Source organism: Homo sapiens, chromosome 7, assembly GCF_000001405.40.
Source record: "Homo sapiens chromosome 7, GRCh38.p14 Primary Assembly".
Lineage (NCBI taxonomy): Eukaryota > Metazoa > Chordata > Mammalia > Primates > Hominidae > Homo > Homo sapiens.
In genome coordinates, this window is record NC_000007.14 from 137,743,436 (window position 1) to 137,766,756 (window position 23,321).

The 23,321-nt window shown below is 41.8% G+C and overlaps 1 protein-coding gene across 9 annotated transcripts in view, besides 2 other annotated features; it reads right to left on the reverse strand.

Annotated features, from left to right (window-relative positions):
• DGKI (diacylglycerol kinase iota) overlaps window positions 1-23,321 on the reverse strand; it is a 465,938-nt gene that overhangs the window by 362,399 nt on the left and 80,218 nt on the right. The window lies entirely within an intron of this gene.
• Window positions 3,200-3,936: an enhancer, noted in NCBI's record as "NANOG-H3K27ac hESC enhancer chr7:137431381-137432117 (GRCh37/hg19 assembly coordinates)". NCBI's record gives its function as "activates a minimal SCP1, AML or CMV promoter by ChIP-STARR-seq in primed H9 embryonic stem cells {active_cell/tissue: H9 hESC(primed)}" and the evidence as "EXISTENCE:reporter gene assay evidence [ECO:0000049][PMID:30033119]".
• Window positions 10,814-11,314: an enhancer, noted in NCBI's record as "H3K27ac hESC enhancer chr7:137438995-137439495 (GRCh37/hg19 assembly coordinates)". NCBI's record gives its function as "activates a minimal SCP1, AML or CMV promoter by ChIP-STARR-seq in naive H9 embryonic stem cells {active_cell/tissue: H9 hESC(naive)}" and the evidence as "EXISTENCE:reporter gene assay evidence [ECO:0000049][PMID:30033119]".

Consider the following 23,321-nt stretch of genomic DNA (forward strand, 5'->3'; position numbering starts at 1 on the left):
GGACCATAGAGGGATTAAAAATAGAAATCAACACTAAGAGGAACCTTCAAAACCATAAAAATATATGTAAACTAAACAACTTGCACATGAATGACTTTTGGGTAAACAACAAAAAATTAAGGCAAAAATCAAAAAATTATTTGAAACAAATGAAAACAGAAACACAACATACCAAAACGTCTACATCAAGAAGATAGAAAAGTCCTAAATTAACAATCTAAACTTCACACATAAAGGAACTAGAAAAACAAGAACAAACTAATCTTGGCCGGGCGCGGTGGCTGACACCTGTAATCCCAGCACTTTGGGAGGCCGAGGCAGGTGGATCATGAGGTCAGGAGATCAAGACCATCCTGGCTAACACAGTGAAACCCCGTCTCTGCTAAAAATACAAAAAATTAGCTGGGCGTGGTGGCAGGCGCCTGTAGTCCCAGCTACTCGGGAGGCTGAGGCAGGAGAATGGTGTGAACTCGGGAGGCAGAGGTTGCAGTGAGCCGAGATAGCACCACTGCACTCCAGCCTGGGTGACAGAGTGAGACTCCATCTCAAAAAAGAAAAAAAAAAAAAACTAATCCCAAAGCTAGTAGAAGAAGAGAAATAACTAAAAGCAGAGTAGAACTAAATGATATTGAGACCCAAAAACCATACAAAGGGTCAAAAAAACAGATAATTGGTTCTTTGAAAGGATAAATAAGATTAATGGACTGCTACCTAGATTAACAAAGAAAAAGAGAAGATCCAAATAAGCACAATCAGAAATGACAAAGATATCACAACCGATCCCACAGAAATACAAAAGATTATCAGAAATTACTGTGAATATCTCTATGCACACAGACTAGAGAATCTTGAGAGAATGAATAAATTCCTAAAAGCACACAACCTCTGAAGATTGAACCAGGCAGAAGCAGAGATCCTGAACAGACCAATAACATGTAAAGAAACTGAATCAGTAATTAAAAAAATATAGACATATACCATCCAAAAAAACCTGGGACCACATGGATTTACAACCAAATTCTACCAGATATACAAAGGAGAGCTGCTACCAATCCTACTGATACTCTTCCAAAAAAATCAAGGAGGGTCTCCTCCTAACTCATTCTACAAAACCAGTATCATCCTGATACCAAAATCTGATAAAGACACACCAAGAAAATAAAACTATAGGCCAATATCCCTGATGAACATAGAAGCAAATATCCTCAATAAAACACTAGCAAACTGAATCCAGCAGCATATCAAAAAGTGAATTCACCATGATAAAGTCAGCTTTAATCCTGGGATGCAAGGATGGTTCAATATATGAAAATTAATAAGCGTGATTTACCACATAAATAGAATTAAAAACAAAACCATGTGATCATCTCAGTAGATGCAGAAAAAGCATTCAATAAAATCCAACATCCGTTTATGATATAAACCCTCAACAAATTAGGTATCAAGAAAAATATCTGAAAATAATAAGAGCCCTATATGACAAACTCACAGCCAACATCATGCTGAATGTGCAAAAGTTGGAAGCATTCCCCCTAATAACTGGAACAAGATAAGGGTACTATGTTCACTACTTGGATGACAGGATCATTAGAAGCCCAAATCTCAGCATCACGCAATATACCCATGTAACAAATCTATACACGTGCCCCCTGAATCTAAAATAATATTTTAAAAATAAAAATAAAAAAAATGTAGTGCAGCTGTAAAAACATCCGTTTGTGGGTTTCTGCCTTATAAAGTGAAGAATGTATTTGTTTTGTTGTTAGATACAAACTAGCCGGTGTTATGGAAAGGATTACTTTGATGACCCCTTTGTTTATGTAGATGGAAGGCAGTGAGTACCTCTCTCTCCTCCTTGGGGAAGACTACGTCCAAAGAAATCACCCAGTATAAAACCTTCAGACAAACACATTAAATGCAGTAGTCCCCCCTTATTCAGACATGTTTTCCAAGGTTTTAGTTACTACACCCAGTCAACTGCAGTCCAAAAATATTAAATGGAAAATTCCAGAAATAAACAGCAAGTTTTCAATTATGCATCACTATGACTAGCATGATAAAATTTCACACTGTCCTGCTCCATTCTGCTCAGGCAGTGAATCCTCCCTTTGTCCACGGTATCCATGCTGTCAGTGCTACCTGTCCCTCAGTCACTCAGTAGTGGGCTCAATTATCAGATCAACTACCACAATATCCCAGTGCTTGTGTTCAAGTAACCCTTGTTTTACTTAATAATGGTTCCAAAATGCAAGAGTAGTGATGGTGGCAACTCAGATATGCCAAAGAGAAGCCATAAAGTGCTTTCTTTCAGTGAATAGATGAGAGTTCTCAGCTTAAAAAGGATAGAAAAAAAAACATATGCTGAGGTTACTAAGATCTACAGTAAGACCAATTTCATTGGTGAAAACGTGAAGAAGGAAAAATAAATTCGTTCTAGATTTACTGTTGCACCTCAAATTGCAAAAATTATGGCCACAGTCTATGACAAGTGCTTAGTTAAGATGGAAAAGGCATTAAATTTGTCGGTGGAAGAGACAAACAGAAATGTGCTACAATTGATGGGAATCAAGTTTGGTTCAATTCACAGTTTCAGGCATCTACTGGGGGGCTTTCCAAGGGGGGATACTGTATCTATTTAACGATGGAATTGGCTGCACTAACAGAACTGTATGTGCAGAGATAGGGGTGTTTCTTGTTTTTGTTTTGGAGGTTTTTTTGGTTTGGTTTGGTTCCCAAAGCTTAAATTAAAATTGATCAATGCTTGACATTCTGGATTGTTCTGGAGAGACTGTGCTTAAGTTGTCCAGGCATCTGCTTTTGGGTGATGGAGCTGGACCTAGAATATCAAGAGAGAGGTAAAGCCCTATTTTCCCTCATCAACTGCTGGAAGAAAAGTCACATGAAGGTGATACAAACTTGACAAAGCACAATCTGGATAGGCTATTGGTCCCCATGGTGGCATGATTTGCGCATGAATAATCTAGATTTAGAGTAAAGTGCTGTCAAGCGTCGCATTACATATTCAGAGACAGGGAGCCAAGCCACACTGTGAAATCTCTTCTGGAGGAAAATGAATTTCCCACTGGCAGCCATCCTGGGAGGAAGTAATCCAGAGATGTTGTTTGTTTGTTTGTTTGTTTGTTTGTTTTTTAAGCCTAGAAATAGGGCAAACCATTTGGGTCTAGGTGCTCAAGCATGCACAGGCTTGATTTATTCCCTATGGCAGGGAAAAGATGGAACCGAGCTAAGAACTAGCAGAAAAGGAGACTCTGAAGTTTAGGTGTAGATCTGAGGTTGTGAGTCCAAACCCACCTGGTATCAGGTGTAAGCTGTTCCTTGGGTTTGGCTGGCTTTATCCTCAAGACTTTAATATGTTCTCATCAACTCAGCCTTATCGTGTCCTGAAAAGAACTAGGGAGAGCATTGGCCACCAATGGGGGACAGATAGGCACAACAAAGAAGTCCTCTCAAAACATCAGAGTTAGCCTGGGGCAAGATGAAGGGACTAGAATGGGGAAACCTAAAAGATCTCTTTGAAAATACCCAGGAGTCAGGACCCTGGGAATTCCTCAAAATCATTAAAAGCCATTTTGAGGAGAATTTATTTCTAGCGATTTGCTAGTGGGAAGCTCCTTGGCCTAATAATTTAGGTTTTTTTAAAAAAAGTGTAATCCTATTTTTTTTAATCACAAGCGGGTAGGGGATTAGATCACACCAATTTTGATTGAAGTTACTATTATTCACCTCTGTTGTAAAAACTACTAGTGCTTACCTATTTCTGGGTCTCCTCTTCTTCCTAAGCACCTAAAAAGTTTACTTTCAGCCCTTGTACTCAAGTGTGGCCATATGACTAGATCTGCACAACAAAATGTGAGCAGAAGTAATATGTAATGTGTAACTTCATTGTCAAGGCAGCAAGAGCTAGTGTGCCATTGAGGCAGGAAAATAGGGTCTGGAGGCAGGGAACATAAGGCCGATTCACACTTCAGCTATAACAGAAAATACCCTCTCCATAGGGCATAATCCGTAAATGACTTTGTAACTTTACCTCATCCTCTCCATTTACACAAGGCATAACCGAAGTAACCAGTGGAATCCTCTAGGGGGTATGTAAACTCCCAAAAATTCTGTAACGGGGTCTTTGAGCCCCTATACTCAGGCCGGCTCCCACATTGTGGAATGTACTTTTATTTTCAATAAAACCCTTCATTCCTTCCTTGCTTTGTACGTGTGTTTTGTCCAATTATTTGTTCAAGACACCAAGAACCTGGAGACCTTCTACTGGTAACACCATCACCAAGCTTCCTTTTCCTTTGCTGCAGAGACATTAAAGATCTGTTTAGATGGGATGGCAGCACAACAAAGAGTAGGCAACCTAAACCCCTACTGCCACTCACTATCCAGGCTCTACTCAGACTTTGTGTGAGCAAGAAACATTCTTTTGTTTTGCTAAATTGATCAGATTCCAGGACTTGTTATGGCAACACACTCTAGCTAGCCAATCCTAACAAATGCAAACACATTTTACGACAAGGAAATAAGATTTATAAAGGTTGACACTTGTCCAAGGTCACTTGCCCAAGGTCACATAATCTAATACTATGAGAGGGAAAAGATTCAAATTCAGGCTCTTCTGACTCTAGTAAATAAGCTCTCAATCCTATCTATATAACATCATTTTATCATTATCATCCCTGAACATTGGCTCTCTGTACCTAAGTGCTAATTCTACAAACACAGTTTTGTAGCTGAGAAACTAAGGCAAAGGAGGAAGGCTGACTTCAAATTTCTTAGTCACTAACTATTAAAATATAAACAAAACATTTTAAATCACTCCACATATAATACTATTTGTATTATACTTTCTTCTGATCCCCCGAAAAACTTATGTATATAAACACATCTATTGTGGTTAAAGAAAAAAAAAAAAGAATGGGGGCGGAATATAAAACTGAAATACAGAATATTATTTAAAGATATAAAAGTAATCATTATTACATAGTATTCATACATATATCTATAGAAAAAAGGTTTGAAGGAAACGCACAAAATATTCATTTGGTCATCCTACAACTATTTATTGAGTCCCTTCTATTTGCCAAGCACTTTTTGACACAGGCACAGAGCATAAAACAGACAATGTATCTGCCCCTCACAGTCCTCTTACAGTCTAGTATTAGTTCTTGGAAAAGAGGAAGCCATGGGGAACTTTTATTTTCTTCTGTATATTTTTCTGCCTTCAATTTTTTCAAAGATATATACCCTTCATATACTATCAGAAATCCATTTTAAATCCACCATTCCCAAACATATCCCATCACACAGATCATGATGCAGCTCTCTAAAAACCATTAGAAAAAAATTAGTCAGAATTGAGAACTTAAGTCAGATTGTCTTAAAGACATCTGTTAAGGAAAAGAATTTATAACTGGGATTATTCATCTTTTTATGATTTACAAGTTACTGGTTTCTTTCAATAAAATTACCAAGAGATAATGATAAAAACTGAGTTAGATGACAAGATAATTTAGTATCGTGCCTTATAGACAATAACAGCAACTGGTGATTATATTTTCTGAACCAAATATTGACATGCAGGTGATGTCTACAGGATTATTTCTGAAGACAACAGAATATACTATTCACAAGAGTGATCAGCAACTATTTATAAATTAAATTACTTTTTCCTTCAAGCTCTGACCATTTTATTTCAATAAACAGTAAAACCAGATTCTTAAGATAACTCAGACAGCTCCTCTGTCCTCCACCTTTCCATGCTCAAAACCCCAAATAGCTGCTGTTTCTGTTTCTTTAATTGAAAAAGGCAAGGGCAGCACCCTAAAACAAGGTGAGGACCAGGAGCCCCCCAGACCTCCCTCCCGGCTCTTCTTAGCTGCTCCTGGTAGACATCCCCTTTCATTTCTGTGGACCCTGCTGATTTTTCCCAAGCAAGCTCCCCACTCAAACCACTGGTCTCAGGCATCAAAAAGCTTGTACTTCCCACCTTGCTCCCCTAGCTGGCCCACCTGATCCAGGATCTATGGCATTCTTGGCTTTTTCTCTCCTCTTCGCTCTCTGACTTCTTTTTGGCTGCCTAAGAAACCCTGGTTGCTTTTATAACCTTAGCTGAATATATTAGTCAATCAGCTTGTAGACAGAGGATTTAAGGGCTAGGGAGAAATGTCTGAAATAGAGAAATTTTGTGGACTGAGTGCTTGAGCTTAAAGGGTTGTTGAAGTTTACTCCAAATTTATCATTTTTTTTGAGGAATCAGGGTCCCTGAGTTTAATCAAAATTCAATTCTGATTCCTCATTGGTTCACATGAGGTCTATGAGCACCGAGACTAGATCTTCTTCCAATCACATCCCTAAATGGTGCTCAATAAATACTGCTGAATGAGTGAATCAACATGCAGCAAGTCCTGATTCCAGACATAGCCAGGGGTGGAACTCTCCCTGGTGTGGATAAGCCTATGGGTGGGATCCAGGATATGGAGCTAGACCTGCTCAGTGGGGTTGGGTAGGAGCAGAAGTGCAAAGACTGAGAAAGTGCAAACAGGCAGAACATATTGTCACAGTAGAGCAGAGACCTGCACAGGGACACACAACTGGCATCAGGGAGACCCAGTAAGAGGCAACTGGACAAAAGAACATATCAGCAGAAACTAAGGGCAAGAAGAAGTGGGGAAACCAGATAAGGAGGCAAGCACCAGAATAAAGAAGAAAGATACCCTTGTCGTAGAGGAGCCAGGGTGAAGGTTCTAACAAGAAAGGACTCGGCTGCAGAGAAATGAGATGCACAGGGCTATAGAGCTGGTGAGTAGGTAGTGCTGAGGCCTAGATGCAGGTCTTCCTACTCCTGGTTCAGTGCTTCAACCTGGCAGATTCCAAATGGCTTCACCATGAAAAACACACTCCTCCACCATGAAGCACACCAAAATGCAAAGCCCTCAAGGGGAGGATCCTGTGTAGATCGCTGTTGTATCACAAGTGCCTAGAACAAAGCCTGGCACATAGTAGGTGCTTAATAAATACTTGAATAAATGAACAAAGAATTACTGATTGGCAGTTAAAAGGAAACTTAAGGTTCCCTCCCTCCATTACCTGTGGGCTGTTTTCCCAATTGCCCACACTCACCTTCCTCTCTCAAAAAAATTCCTGCTGTGGGTATTCAGGGCAGCAATCAGCATCTGTATAAAGATATTGGGCACTCTAGTGGAATGCCCTAGCCCAGCCCCTGAACATCACCCCCATAAGCAGTTCAACAAGGCAACGGGGAGAAGACAGAGTCCTGAATGGCTTTTCAATACTTTACTCCTACATCTGTGACCTTGGGGACTCAGGAAGATAAAGGAAAGGAATAGCATGCTAATGAAGATCTTTAAGGCAGTGCAAGACTTCATGTTGATATTCTCCACATCCACAGAGAATCTGGCTTGAAAATTTTAAAAATTACACTGGAATTTAGTAAAGACCTGGAAGTCAGAAGTCCTAGGTTTCAGAGACAATTTTATACAACTAGATCTCTCGGCCCCCGTCTTTTCAGCTGCAAAATGAGCAGGATATTAGTAGATGATCTGTAAAGGCCACTTCTAGTTCTAGGCTAATTTTGGTTTCAATCATATTTTTGTTCCTATCTAAGGCTTGAAATGAAGCATCTTTGTGTCTATTATAACTTTGGGCTTCATGTCAAATAACTTACTAAGGTTCTACTTCAGTAAACATCTGGAAGATACACATAAATATTTCCTTTACTGTTAGAAGCAGCAGTCATCACTACAGTTTCTTAATTTCCATTCCAAATTTTCTACACATAGACTTGGCTACAAAAGCCATTCTACCTCCTTTCAGTTTTATAAAAATGTATATTGTCTATAGCCACTATCAGACATCTCTGTTATGTTAGCAGATTCCTCCTATTGGGCAGTTAACTCTCTGAGAATAAGATGGTATTCCATTCACCGAGTACCTCTCATAGCACCTGAAAAGCTACCTTGTACTTGGTGGCATCTGACAAACATCTGCTGAGTATCTTTTCATATATTTTTATCATATGTGTTCCTACACACGTTTCAGACGTGTCTCTCAAGCTCTTCTGATTGGTTTAGAATATGCTTGAGTATAGATAATGACTCATTCTTCCATTAAAGACACTAGCACTTTCTAAAGCATTGTTCTAGCACTTTTGAAAGTATGTAAAGGAAAAGACTAAATTAAACCTGAGGGTGGAAACCTGTATCGAAAGGCCAAATACTAAATATTTTAAGCTTTGTTGGCCAGGTAATCTGTGTCACAACTACTTTCCTGTGCTATTGTAACACAAAAGCAACTATAGACAATATATAAACAAGTGAGCCAGCCTGCATTCCAATAAAACTTTATTTACAAAAATTGACCTGTACGCTGTCATTTTCTAACCCTTGCAATCAACCTCAGAACCAAAAAGCAAGCATAAGATGATATAAAATAATAATAACATGATAATAACAAAAGAAACAAAGCAGCATCACTTTATTAATTATGTCTAGGCATTATCCAATTATTTAAATGTATTTAACGCAATGTACATAAGGCTGTGTACCCAAATACATAACTACATACAATCACTACATTTCAGAATCATAAATCCTACTACAATGTCCTTCAGACTAAAAATTTGCCTATTTCCAAAACTTATCCCCAGAAACCTCTTCTATCCTATTCCAAAAGATTTCTCCCTGGATAATAAAAGTTGTGGGGGGAGCAAAGAGGAAGAGGTGGTCAAATAGTAACAGCACAAAAGTGTGGGTGGTGAACTCCCATCCCTGAGAAATAGCAAAATCAACAATACAAAAAAAAAAAGTCAGATCTCACAATCCCTAAAAAGGTATCGATAGGGGGTCCTGGTTCACAAACTTTAGTCTACAAAGAGGGAAAAGGAAGGCCTCATATTTATAAACTTCAGTTTTTTGGTTATAACTTAGAACAAAATGTACGGAATTCCGCTAAGGGAGGAGACCACCCCTCATATTGTCTTATGCCCAATTTCTGCCTCCAAAGAAAGAAGAAGTAAAAACTAAAAGGCAGAAATGAAATCCACAGGCAGATAGCCCAGCGCCGCACCTTGGGCCTGGTTACAGATTGACCCCTGACCTAACGGGTTATGTTATCTGTAGATTCCAGACATTGTATGGAAAAGCATTGTGAAAATCCCTGTCCTGTTCTGTTCCATTCTGATTACCAGTGCTTGCAGCCCCCAGTCACATAACCCCTGCTTGCTCAATCGATCACGACCCTCTCACATGGACCCCCTTAGAGTTGTAAGCCCTTAAAAGGAACAGGAATCGCTCACTTGGGGAGCTTGGTTTTTGGAGATGTGAGTCTTGCCGAAGCTCCCGGCCGAATAAAGCCCTTCCTTCTTTAACTCAGTGTCTGAGGGGTTTTGTCTGCGGCTTGTCCTGCTACACCTCCACTCACCAGCCATCTGAGGACTCTGACACGGGTATTTTGCACCTGTTTTGGTTCCTGCAAAAGAGATTCATCCAAACCCTACTCATCCTTCCTAGACAGCCAGTATCACTCACAAACATACACGTGTTACTAGTGCATGCTAGTACATACGAATGTACATACACACACACACACACACACGCACACCCACAATACCCACTTGGAAGTTGGCTATTCTGTACTCAGGATAATCATCTCAACTTCTCCCCATGAGGTCCCTAAATAATAAACAAAGTTACACTTGAGTGGTCTGACTACAGAGAAGATGAGAAAGGAAAAGCAAGGTGGCTCTGCCAAAAGATAACAAAGGCTGCAAACTGATCCCCAGGAACCTGGAGTCATTTAAATGGCCAGGATACTTCCAGACAGAGAGTCTCTGGTGCTAGACACTGCCCCGGAAAGTGGATTAGCCTGGCAGACAGTATTAAACTCAGCCGGGATCCCTGGGAGAGTCTGCCAGCAACTGCTGGAGTGCCCACCACATGTATTTAGGAATTTTGCGAGGGTTCCAAGGCCTTTCAGGGCACAGCCGCTCTATCCCTAAGGAATCAACACACACATTTATCACAGAGGTAGTTTAGTACCTCATTGCCCAAAGGAACGGAACAGAGTGGGAGCAGGAGGAGGGGAGTTGAGCAAACTTAGAGAGGAACGGGTTGTAAAGTCTGAGTCAGTTTATATCTGAAGGCAAGGCTGATAGAGGTTTAATTAATTTGCTTTCCACTCTCTTTGACCATAATTCAATCTTTCTCTCTCTCTTCACATTCAAAATCCAAGGTGGACAGAGGACATAGACAGGAGGGGTGATCTATGAGGCTACAGACAAAGCAGAAGTCGCCTCTATTGCCATGAGCAATTCAATTCCTGGAGCTAAAACAATAACATCAGCATCATCGTTAGAGCAGCTTTGAGAGTAAATGCCACCAGCTCCTACAGAGCAGCCCCAAATTAATGGCATATAAATAAAAAAAGGACACCAGGGTAGCCAGTCCCACTGAAATGGGCAATCAATGTTTCTATTACAACATTAAAAAAGAGGAGGAGGAGGAGGAGCGTGGAGGGGGAGGAGAAGAAGAAGTAGTAGTTCCCCTAACTGGGAACTATGTTGTCAGTGAGGAGGAGCAAAAACAGGGTAGTCTAGAATCCAAGAGGGGTCATGGGGGGTTATGTAAAGAAGGTGGGAGGCACTGTGGGCCAGGGGCAGGTGCACTGCTGCTGCCAGGAATAGCCTCCCTGCTGGTTCAAAGGCAGTGAGGAATGGGGCACCCTGTTTTCATCCCCCGGTGGCTGCTTCACTCCCACCAGAAATGCTCCTACGTGGAGGAAGAGTATCAGCCTCTGCCACATCCACCCCCTGTCCCCAGGAGGTCCTTGTGTCCTCCCCTCCTGTGGCTTAAGAGAATAACAAAAATGACCTCCACTGGAGGGAGATCACATCTTCAGGTCCTGCCCCTTGTCTGTTTCAAATGGGCTTTTCAAACATCAGCAGGCACAGGGAAGAAGGGCAGTGGGAGACTGCTGCGTGACCAGCTCAGGGTTTCCCACCAACCTGTCTGCAATCATTCACCAGCCAGATGCAGCAAGGGACGTTTGTTTTACCCTTTTCATTCGGAGCTGTCACTGTGCGACCTCTGCCACCCCCTCATCTCTCACCTCAGGGCACCTGCCTCAAATAACTTCCCTTGTGTTGTCATTCACCTCATGGATAATTGATAGCATGTCAAGTTGATGCTAAGAAAAGAACAAGGTGGGTAGACGTGTGCCTACTATAAATAGATCCACGACATGACCAGCATTTGCCAACTTTTGAGCAAAGAAAGGCAGAGGCAGAAACGGCAGCGATGGCAGCTTCCCCTGGGTCCTTGGAAGAGCTGGCTTCACACTGACAGCCACAGCCCTGCTTGAGTGGTTTGACTCACAGCAGAGGGGTGGGAAGATGCCTTTCTCCATTTGGGAGCAAAATTTAAAATATCACACGTGATGGAACTTTCAGGGTTGTTTGACAGACGCATAAAAGCTCAAACAACGCATACTTTAAAACGTCTGCTTTCTTTCTCCTACATTATCTTTTTCTCTGTATGTTTTAGGAACTTTATTCTTTATTTTGCTCTCAGGGGCATATCTGCTTCTAAGTTTTTATATACATATGCTCACACAATTACATATGTAATTGGCACCTACACAGATTATAAATTAGGTATATATTAGACCCTGCAGCTACAGAGAGGAAGAATAAAATAAGACTCCAAACACAGGAGGCATTCATCAGGAATCCTTTTGTTACAAGTGGCAAAAACCAATTCAATATGGTAAGAAACATGAATTAAAAAATGATAAAGATGTGAGGTCTTTTTCAACATGTCCCATGAAGAGTTCCCCACCAAACGAGGGGGCCAATCCATGGCAAAGATTAGATTAAGGGTGCACCTTTCCATCCAAGCCTATTTTTTCACATGGCCTCAAGATGGTTGACTTTAGTTTAAGGGCAGAGGGAGGAGGGAGAAACAGAGAATCGAGACAAGTGAGCTTTTCAGGCTTAAAAATTGCTTCTAGGTCTAGATTGAGATCTTTGCCTTGGTCACTCACACGTGGAACAAAGTGGAAACAAATCGACCTGAATGCTCTTAAGTCTCTTAGGGCATTGAATTGCCAAATAAACCACAGTCCTCATCTGAAAAATCTTGTAACTGCCAATCCCCCAAGGGAACCCCAACTTCTCCAAAAGCCCCACCAACAGGAAAGGGGCTGTGAACATTGTGCAGGTCATGGGAAGGGCACTCCTCCTATGCCCACTTCAGATACAGCCTGGAGGATAATGGATGAGGAAGAGGCTAAACAAACTGTAGGAGGAGAAACAACCAACTGCAATTGCAAAAAAAAATACATCTCAGGATCGCAGAAACTGACTATATAAACTCTAAGTGTTGGCATCCACAAGCCAAAGAGCAAACTGCAAAACTCTGAAAATTGAAAGAAAAAGACTTGGGTTCCTGGTCCAGTTCCTAATGGGTAACCAAGCATGTCCTTCAGCCTTGCAAAAGGTCAGTCATGGAAGTTCTTAGGAGAGGTATATTTTGAGCCAGACATTCAACAAACACGTCAGTTGAACAAAATAAGTTCTTCCTTATGCAGTCATCAACAGTAACAGACACAGAAGAATCTGAGCTGAGAATGCAACAGAAGCCCCAGTGTACATACATCACCAATAAACCTGTTTCCTGCAGAGGCTTTAATAACCAAGCAGATAGGAGATCTCTCTCCTGTTTCCAAGCAGTGGATCTCATCAATAATCCAGACAGGAGATAATATGCCAAGACCTGCTGTGCCCTCCCAGCCAAGCGTGACCTCACAGGTTCCTTGTTATCAGGCTCCAAGTTCACACCTAGAAAATAATGGAAATATACCCTCAGCTGCACAGCCCTTTTCTGATTCATTTGTAAGCTACACTAATAATCCCATGATGCAAACACAGAAGAAAAAAAGTCATTCGGGAACCGTCAGAAAGGTTATTTTTGTAAGACATGAGGGAATGATTATAATGATTTATTAAAATCTTACAATGTGAGAAAGTAAGATCGGCAAACAAAATCCAATTAAGGAATTCACCAAATAAAAAGGAATTGAACTCCTCCAGCCTGGGGTTGACAAAGAAGCCATTCAGTAAAGAGCTTTATATGCTAAACTTAGCTAGTAAACCTAGTTATTTTCCATGCAGTGCTGTTCTTAAAGAGCTATTTAACTTCATCCATATCTACGATCTAAAAGACTAAGTATTTTGACTTGTGGGTTTAAAAAAAAAATTAGTTCCAATTTTAAAATGAACTTGCCTCAGAGACTACATTGTGTAGATTTAAGAGTTGATTAGTACTGGGTTCCTAAGACTAACTGCCCAACACATTTCCCTTGCCCTTCCATTCCAAAGCCCTCTCCTAACCACACAAGGACCACTAATACCTACCCACAATTTAATTTTCAATTTCTCATCCAGATATATTTATCTGCCTTCTTCTCTCAACCATGTGGGTTCCATATATTTTGGATGTGTTTGGGGTATATAACTGTTTGGTTATATTTTTTAATATTTCCTTTTTGTATTTGTTTCTTCTCTGGAATTTCTCAGTAAACATTCTCCAGGATTTTTTTTTTAATCCTCTCCAAAATAAAGGCATGAAAGCCGCCCCTGACTTTTCAAAGCACCACTGGTGCCCTGGGTACCAACACTATGTTCTGCTCCACTTAACGCTGCATCCACTTCTTAAACCTGGGTCATCGGGCTTCCCCCACCCCACTTCAGGAAAAATCTCTCCCCAGAGTCAGCAATACCATCCCCATGGAGACAGAACCCCTTAGTATTTCTCAGTCCTGCTCTTCAGCCACAGACACTGGTAACCACTTCCTTCTCTTTACCACTCTTTCTTAATCTAACTTTTGTGTATGATTCATTCCCAGTTTTCCTACACCCTCTCCTTCCCAGGCTTCTCATCTTCCCATTTCTTAACCGTTGGTGTCAGCTGGGATTCTGTGTTCAGCCCCTCTTCCTCTCCATGTGATTTCCCTAGAAGTCATCCACTTTCATGCCCCAGCTAGTCCCATACGGTAAGGAGTCCCAACATTCTCTCCCTGTCAGAGACCATTCTCCTGACCCGCTGGAAGGGAATGGCTCATATTCAAAATGTCTAAAACCGTACCCATTATCTGACCCTCAACACCTGTCCCTCCACCTCTACTTCCTATTAGAAAAAAAAATTACTCAAGCCAGAACCTGGCAAACAGCTCAATATTGGTTCAGGAAATCTCTCTCTTAACCAATAAAATCTCAATGCCAAGCCGGTTCCCCAAGGCACTGGGCACTTGACATCACTGCTGGCCAAATCTATGTGTTCATGAATTAGAACGTAGCTGAGAAGAACAAGATAACTATATCCACCTGGCAGAAGTAGATATTTCTCTAAAAAGTAGTTTAAGACATATAGCGAAATTGGAGAATCGTAACACTCTTTCCAACTTTGAGAGAGCTTGTTCCCCTCTGCACCCTGGGGAAATCAGTCTTCTTAATGTTTTCTCTTTTCACAGCTATTTATGACAGTTTAGAACAAAGCTCAAGTCCTGTATCTCCTGGTTTAAGTTTCCTTTGTGCAAAAGAACCTTCTTTTTCCAATATCTTGGGCTATACATGCTTATTTGGAAGGAAAGAGATTTGGAAATGGAAATGAATCCACTTTACTACCTCCTCCTCAATCAAAACGGAGAAGTCTCAGCAATGATATCTGAAACACCCACACTTATGGAACCAGTGGGGTTCTATGAGCCCCTGGGTGAGCTATGGGCTCATTCTGGGACTCAGGTCCTGGCCCAAGTGGTAGCTCCAGCATCCATTTCTGTAGGCAACGAAGTAGTAGTCTGGTAGAAAAGGAAGGGAGTGGACTCTCCTCTCAAAGCCATGCTTGTGATACACTTTATATTAAAAACATATCTCAGAGGCCATGTGCGGTGGCTTACACCTGTAATCCCAGCATTTTGGGAAGCCAAGGTGGATGGATCACTTGAGGTCAGGAGTTTGAGACTAGCCTGGCCAACACGATGAAACCCCATCTCTACTAAAAATATAAAAATTAGCCGGGCATGATGGTGAGTGCCTGTAATCCCAGCTACTCGGGAGGCTGAGGTAGGAGAACCACTTGAACCTGGGAAGCAGAGGTTGCAGTGAGCCAAGGTTGCACCACTGCACTCAAGTCTAAGTGACAGAGCAAGACTCCGTCTCAAAAATAATAATAAATAAATAAAATTATATATATATATATCTCAGTCTGACGTATCAGACTAAGGAAGAGTGTGATATGTCCTTCCCCAACAGTGCTGGTGCTTTTTTGGGCAAGATCACACTGGGTGTTATCAGGAGATAGATACTCAAACCTAAAGCACCATTTGTTTGTAATCATACCATTTTTTTACTTTTCCCATATAGGCGCTTTGGGCTTACTCACAAAGGAACAACTATATTCACAGATGTTAAAAGTATGTATATTCTTCTTAAATTTTTTAAATTTTATTTTAGATGCAGGGGATACATGCGCATGCTTGTTACATGGGTACATGGCATACTGGTGGGGATTGGGCTTCAAGTATACTCATTACCCAAACAGTGAACATTGTACCCAACAGGTAATTTTTCAACCCCCTCCCTCTCCTACTCCCTCAGCTTTTGGAGCTCTCAGTGTCTATTACTTTCATGTTTATGTCCATGTGTATCCACTGTTTAGCGCCTACTTATAAGTGACAACACACAATATTTGATTTTCTATTTCTTAGTTCACTTAGTTATCTTAGTTCACTGAGACAATGGCCTCCAGCTCCATCCATTTTGCTGCAAATGACATAATTTCATTATTTTCTATGGCTGCTCTACATTCTTTTTTTTTTTTCTTTATTTTTTTGAGATGAAGTCTCACTCTTGTCCCCCAGGCTGGAGTGCGATGGCGCGATCTCAGCTCACTGCAACCTCCGCCTCCCAGGTTCAAACGATTCTCTTGCCTCAGCCTCCCGAGTAGCTGGGATTACAGGCGCCTGCCACCACGCCTGGCTAATTTTTGTATTTTTAGTAGAGACGGGGTTTCACCATGTTGGCCAGGCTCGTCTCGAACTCCTGACCTCAGGTGATCTGCCCGCCTCAGCCTCCCAAAGTGCTAGGATTACAGGCGTAAGCCACCATGCCCAGCCCTTCTACATTCTTATTGATAGAGATTCTCAAGCAGCTATAGAAGTGGGTGGCAATAGAACAAGGGAAAAAGATTTCCAAGAAATTCTTAACTAATTACAGGCCTAGGCTGGGTGAAGAGTTTACACCAAGATGAACTCATTCTCCCTTTCTTTCTCTGTTTCTCTCTCCTCCTTTTCGTCCCTCCCTCCCTCACACACATTTTGAGCATCCTCAGAAAAAAAAACAGAGTCTTGATATTCTCATGCCTCATTCTCCAGAAGTAAAAAATGTGGTATCCTGAAAAACTAGAAACAAAAAGGCATACTAGTTGTGGCGCCTTTGCTACCATAGCGTGAGTGAGAAAATAGAGCTAAACAGAAAAATATATGTACCCTGAGACACACAGATAGACTGAGGCAATTGAGGCAATCGACAGGGAATCCTCCTAATCCTCTTCTGTGCCTCCAGTCACAGAGGAGTCACTCCCTCTTTCTTTGAATCAGCAGAGCCCACCTCACCTACTAATCTTTCCTGCGGGCCCTCTCCTTTCTTTCCCTTGCACTCACTGTTGGTGACTATGGTGATTTCTCTAACAACCAAGAGCCCTGCGGGAAGAAACGGCATTTTCCAAAACTCTGGGCTTATACCCAGCCAAGCCATTCCACCTCCCTCTCTCCTCCCCAAATGCTGAGCGCCTTTGCCAGTAGCCTGTTGTCATGGTTACTCTAATCTTTATCTGCTTTGCTTGCTAAACAAGCTGGCTCTGCTCCAGCCCACCTCCTGGTTCTTCCTACCTCTGTGGCCTTCACTACTTCCCTCCCGCCCCATCTTCGTCCCCTTCTTTCCCTGAGGGATAAAAGGAAAGAACAGCAATCACTGTTCCTTCCCCCTACCCCACTCTAGTCTACTGGATTTTATCGGGAGGGTTTCTTTTCTGTTCCCGAATGGAAAAGCACCACTCATGACAGCAACAAGCAGTGATTGAAAATGAAGGTTCTACACAGGCTCCAGAAATGGAGGAGAAAGGGAGAGAGGAGAGCCAGAAGGGGGAAGTCCAATAGGAACCATTTCGGTTGGCAAAAAGAAGCTGATGGCTAAAGTTATTAGATGGGTCTGCTGAGGTCCACTAATACCACTTCACCCAACAAGCCACCCCTCAGAATAAGACCTTACATCCTGCTTCAAAGAGGTAATCCTTCCCCTCCTCTTGCATCCTTATGTCATATCCCTCCTTCCTTCCAGTCCAGAGGGACGACATTTCCATCTCTAGTCCAGGCAATTCCCTTTAGGCTGTTCTGCACTCTGTTCTCCCATGCCTCCTTAGAGATCTTAATTCAACCAAAATTTCCTCTCTTGAATCTTAAACCAATTTCTCTCTACCTACTCTTTCCTCTCAGCATCGAAACACAATTTCCCATCTTAAAACGACATCCCTAGTTGGCCCGTATTACCCTTTGATAACCAGCAACTCACCTTTTTGGAAAGTCATCTCCCCTTTCTGTCTGTTTCTTTGTTTTGCCTTCAAGCCACTGCACGGTGGTTTGCTTCAGGACCATGCCAGAGCCAAGGTTATGAAGAACTTCCCTGTTGTTAAATTCTGCAAGCCCTTTGTAGCCTTTTTGCCACTGTGTTTCCTAACAAGTGATTGTGGTGGTCAACACACAGGACTTCGGCATCCTTTCATTTATGTTCAAATCTTGGCCCTGGCATTTATCAACTTTGTGCCTTTGGTCAAGTTATTTACCCTTTCTGCTGCCTCAGTTTCCCCATGTTTCCTTGACGTAAATAGCAGGGGCTACCTCACCTGGTTATTGTGGTGATTAAATAAGACAACATTTGTAAAACAACCACAGCAGTGCTCACTCAAAGAAAGTACACAGAAATCATTAATGACTATTTTCTTACCTGAATCCCTCAGCAGCACTCAGCGATCTCTTCCTCTTGATACTCTTCACCATGTTCTCCTCTTTCTTCTTCTTTCCCTGTATTTTCCCCCTTGGGCTCCCATTTGAAAGCCTCATTAGCTTTCTTTCATAGAATGGTCCACAGATTCCTGTTCTGGACCATCTGTTCCTCTCAACTAAACATTCTCACTAAGCAATCTGAGTTATACCCAAGGCTTTAACTACCACAGTAGATGGTGGGCCCACAAATCTCTATGTTCCTCCAGACTTCTCTCCTAGACTCCAGACCCATACATCTGCCTACTGTATATCTCCACCTCAATGTCTCACAGGCAGCCTAAACTCAACTTGACCGAAGCAAGATTCTATCCCAATAAATGGCACCACCTAAAAGCCCAAGCCTGAAAACTGGTGCCGTCAATCACCTCGTCCTCATCCCTCATTTTCTAAGTCCAGGTAGTAATTAAACCCACTTGGTTCCACTTCAGTCTCTCTCAAGCCAACAGCTGTCTACTATTACTGATTTTCTTAATTATTTCTCATTATTTCTGGCCTAGAGTGTCAAATGTATTTACCCCTCTCAAATCATTCCGTATACGGTAGCCAGAACAGCCCACTTTAATGCCAATGTGACCAGTTCATTCCCGATATTAAATCTCCAATAGTTCCCCATGTCTATAACAGTATATCCCAAACTTAACTAGCGATCTTCTTAATAGATTCCTGGGAAACACTCTGACACACCTGAAATCAGATTTGCCAAGAAAGTGGCCTGAGAACATTTGTAACAAGGACCAAGTGATTCTAATGATCAGGTAAGTTTGGAAAATGCTGGCCTCTAAGATAAAAGAGCATGCCCTTTATGTTACAACTGCTCCTTTTTAGAGTATCCCTAGAGTCTTTCTCACATTCTATACTCCAGCAGCAGGGAACGCTAAAGTGAGAAAAATATGTAACACCTCTCTCTCTTCCAGTTCTCTGCCATTGATGAGCATTGCAAATTGGTTTTCCATGTTGTCTCACACCCAGGTCCTGGTTATGACATCATTATAGTTGCTGCCTGAATGTGGAACACCCTCACCCCAGCATGGATCACAGCTAACTCCTTTTTTTCAAAACCATTCAAGTATCACCTTCTCCAGATATCTGATCTCCTTGCTCGGTTCAATAGCTCTCCCCAAGCCCTTACCCACCTCAAGCTTTCATGAGATCTGGTTCATTGTGTGCTCCTATAGCATCCGGGGCTGACCTCCACCAAAGTATTACAGGATACGTCTGCCTCCTGCTCTCCTTGCTATGGCGTGCACATCTCCTGATCTCAGCACCTAGCCTGTTCCAGACAAATAGGGAATTTAATATTGTGGACTGAGTGACAAAGAATGATTCCAGTAGGCTTTAGCTCCATTGTCCAGCTATTCATATCTGTTCAAAACCTTATGGCCTCATCCAAAGTATTCATTTTCCCTCCCAATTTCATATCACTTAGCATTTTGATTTCCATGTTCTCTTTATTCTCATCTAAATTGCTGATGAAAAGTTTCAAATCAGGGGCCAAGGTACAGAGTCCACATGAGAATTCTCTCTGGTTAGGTACTCATTCACTCAAGTGGTATGGTAAGGACTGCAAAGGACTGGACACTTTTATATTTTTATAGGCAACAGAATGACTACCGTCAAATGTCTGCCTGCCTGTGAAATACTGGAGAGGCCATTCAAACAAGAATGATGCTATCTGACTATCTGACTGTCCTATTATACAGTTTATATGCACCAGCCTTGTCCAGGAAGCTACGGGTGTGAACTGACACACACCTCAAATGTCTCGCAGGATCCTAGATATGCCACATCTGCTGTATTTGCTCTATTTAAGGCTTTGCAACTTTAATTTTCCTAAAAAGAAATCATGCTGCTTTGGCTTAACATTCTCAGTGGGCCAGTGTTTGCATTTAGGGATCACTCATCTCCTGTCCAACGACTCCCAAACTGCTTGTTTCATAACCTGTTCAAGAATGTTTTATGGAAATTATGTCAGATTCTCTCATCTACAGTGTGTGAAATCCAAAGTATCCTCATTTTTGAAAACTTAGAAAATGTTTGCCTATCTCAGCTTTCCAGCTCCTGTCCCATTTATTATCCACGATTCTCCAAAGATTCTAAACAGTAATTCTATAGCTTCTCTCTGTATCTAGAATGTAATTCATCTGGGCTAAAAAGTTTTGACTCATGTAGCTCAGGCCAGTGTTTCCTTACACCTTCCTCATCCAGAGAGAATTTCAGGCCATGCCTGTCTGCTCCAAGTCTCCAATAAGGTCTCAACCTCCACATAGAGCAATTTTCAGTCTCTTGTAATAATTAGCAAAGCATGCTGTAATACTTCTAACCAGTAAGGATAGGGTAGTCTAGGCCTGAAAAACAGACCGCTAAATAAGGGACAGGTCGTCTACCTGCTTTGGCATTTGTTCAGTGTTTGCATATTGTCACAACATTTATTTTAAGCCCCTAAAAGTGTCAAGTGATGGCTCCCACATGGACTTTGATCAGACACTATCACAGATCTAGGCCCAGAGCCCACGAATATTTACTAAATATGCAGTAGGTGGATGCTCACCCTAGATGTGAACGGTGTTGCCCTAGGACAGATCATATTCCTTAAAGTGCCCCTCCCCTCCTCTGACTCTTTGTCCAGGGTGGCACCCTGGGAAGCTGTGTTTTTAAAAAGCTTCCTGAGCACACCAGAATTATTGTTCCAGGTGAACAGATTCTGAACCTTTAAGTTAATTTCATCCTTCAGAAGGAACTTTTACATTGAGAAAGGGTCAGAGTTCCTTTTTCTGCCCTCTTTTTGCCAAATATACACATCTAAAAGAATTTGCAGAGAGCCAGGATGGCTCCTGTTTAATTTGTTTCATATATTCTCTAACATAGCATCCCTTGTAGCAGTACTCAATAAGGATCTGAAAGTTCATTTCGTTCATTTCCACCCGACTTCTCTTGTGCTGGTCCACAAGAGAAGTTCATTCAAGCCCTGCTTAGATGCCTCCAAAGGCAGACCACTCACCACCCCAAAAGGCAGATGTCCTCTACTGACAGTGCTCTTCGGCAGTATGGCCTTTCCTCCTGGTTTGTCTAGGGTACCTGCAACAGCCCTAGTTGGTACCTTTTGTCCTGTTTTATTGAATAAGCCTGGCTTTCACTCTGAATGTCCTGGTTTGAAAGATAATACAGTGCCCATATTATTTTCCTGCAGCTCAGGATAAACTGTGAATGCCTTACCCTGAGCTATGAATATGTTCTCAATCCCATCCCCACCTCCTACCTCTCCAATCTCTTCCTCCAGTACTTCCTTCTTTCTGCCCCCTACCTATACCACAGAGAAATGGTCTCCTTCCACATTTTACCCAAGAGGCTACAGGGGCTTCCAGGGTAACTTGCCTAAAGTTTCACAGCTAATAAGGAGAAGACAGTTTTCTTTTCCATCTGAATATACTCAGTTCCTTCCATGGTTTCTCCTGAGACATGCTTCCAGACCCTCAGGCACCTGCTAATTGCCCTTCTCTGGGCAAACATGAGGCGCCAGGTGCAGTCCAACCATTGAAGAGGGGTGTTACTTCCTGAGTTCAATACATTAACGTTCCATTAATGCAGCTTTTTAGTTGCCTCAGTCAGATTTAGTGGCTTATACTGAGCTTTTAGTCAAATAAAACTTCAGTGTCTTTCTCTACCAGAACTACTGCCAGTAGATTTTTTTCTCCCACCATTATGTATCGTTGATTTTTTTATTCCAAAATAAGATTTTACATTTATCCCTTTGAAATGTCATTGTGTTATTTTTAACCCAGCATTCCAGCATATCTATATCATTTTGAGACATATTTTTGTTTTTGTCATCGATTACATTGGCCATCCTTTCCAGTTTTGTGTCTGCCACAAATTTGATGAGCACACTTCTTGTGCCCTCTTCCAACTTGCTGGCAAAGTCACTGCCCAGAGCAAGTCCAAGATCTGAGAATTTTAAAATGACCTCACTAATGATATTCCTTGTCTTGTCTGTGATGTCACAGTCTTCCAAAGAGCCTTCCTGCAGAAACCGTTCACTTGTCAAGGTTTAGAACCACTGCCACCATCAGCCCTTTGTAATGATAAGTCAACATGAGAGTCTTCATAGAGATGATGCAGCTGAATCCCACGTCGTTTACTAAACAATTCAGCTAAGTAGCCCTCAGGTCTGGATGGACTCTAAGGACAGGCAGCATACGATACGGAGGCCTCCCGGAATCCTGCAGCCCCAAGTCACCCAACCTTCCCACTGGCTAAAGAGAGAAAGGAGACACACTCTATTGTCAATTTCACCCCCAAAGCTTTATCTATGTTCCTAGGAGAAGTCACATCTATACCTTACACTGGTATCAGGCATTTAAATCAGTATGGCAAGTCAGGTTTTCAGAAAATATCACTGAAAGGAAAAGGCCAAGAGAAGCTACCTGAACAGGAGATTTCCTAAATGTCAGATCTAGTTCCTGCCTGAAACCAGCTCTCAGCCCCTTTCATTTACAGATGAAGATAAGAGGAGAAAAGAGCTAGAACAAGATTGTTCAGGACTTACGATCCTAAGAGGAAAGGAAGAAAGGTATACACCAGGAAAGCTCAAACAGAATGAAAAGTGAACCCTCCCGTTATTCTGAGACAAATATCATGGGATCCTCCAGCCTAACAGGAAAATGAAGCAAACTCTAAGAAACAAATATTTCCAATGGTGATCTAATCGGACTTCCATCAAATATGGTTGTGTCAACGTGATGTTCATCTCTACTCCCTTCCCAACCTCCAACATAATGAAAGTAATTAAGTTTTTTTAAAAAGTAAAGTTCCACAAGGACACAGAGAAATGGAGAGGTAGAAATAAATGTTAACAGTCTTCTGGAAGATGGAAAGTGAATTGACAAGTTATTACTAACCTATTAGCACAAAGAAAGTTACAAATCTCAAAGAGCAAAACCAAGAAAAAGCAAGCCAATTTGCACGGAGCCCCTCAGAAAAGCTGAGGAATTGGAGGAGGAATTGGAAGTGTCATGGACTTCCTCCAGGGCAAAGAGAATCTTCCTTATTCCCTCCTTCCCACTCAGCACACCCAGGGCAGGACAGGAGGAATTTCTTTTTCTAGAGAAACTGAAAGAGGGATCCTCAGGAACTAGGGACTCAAATAGGGAGGGCTTGCAGGGTGGTGAGGGTGG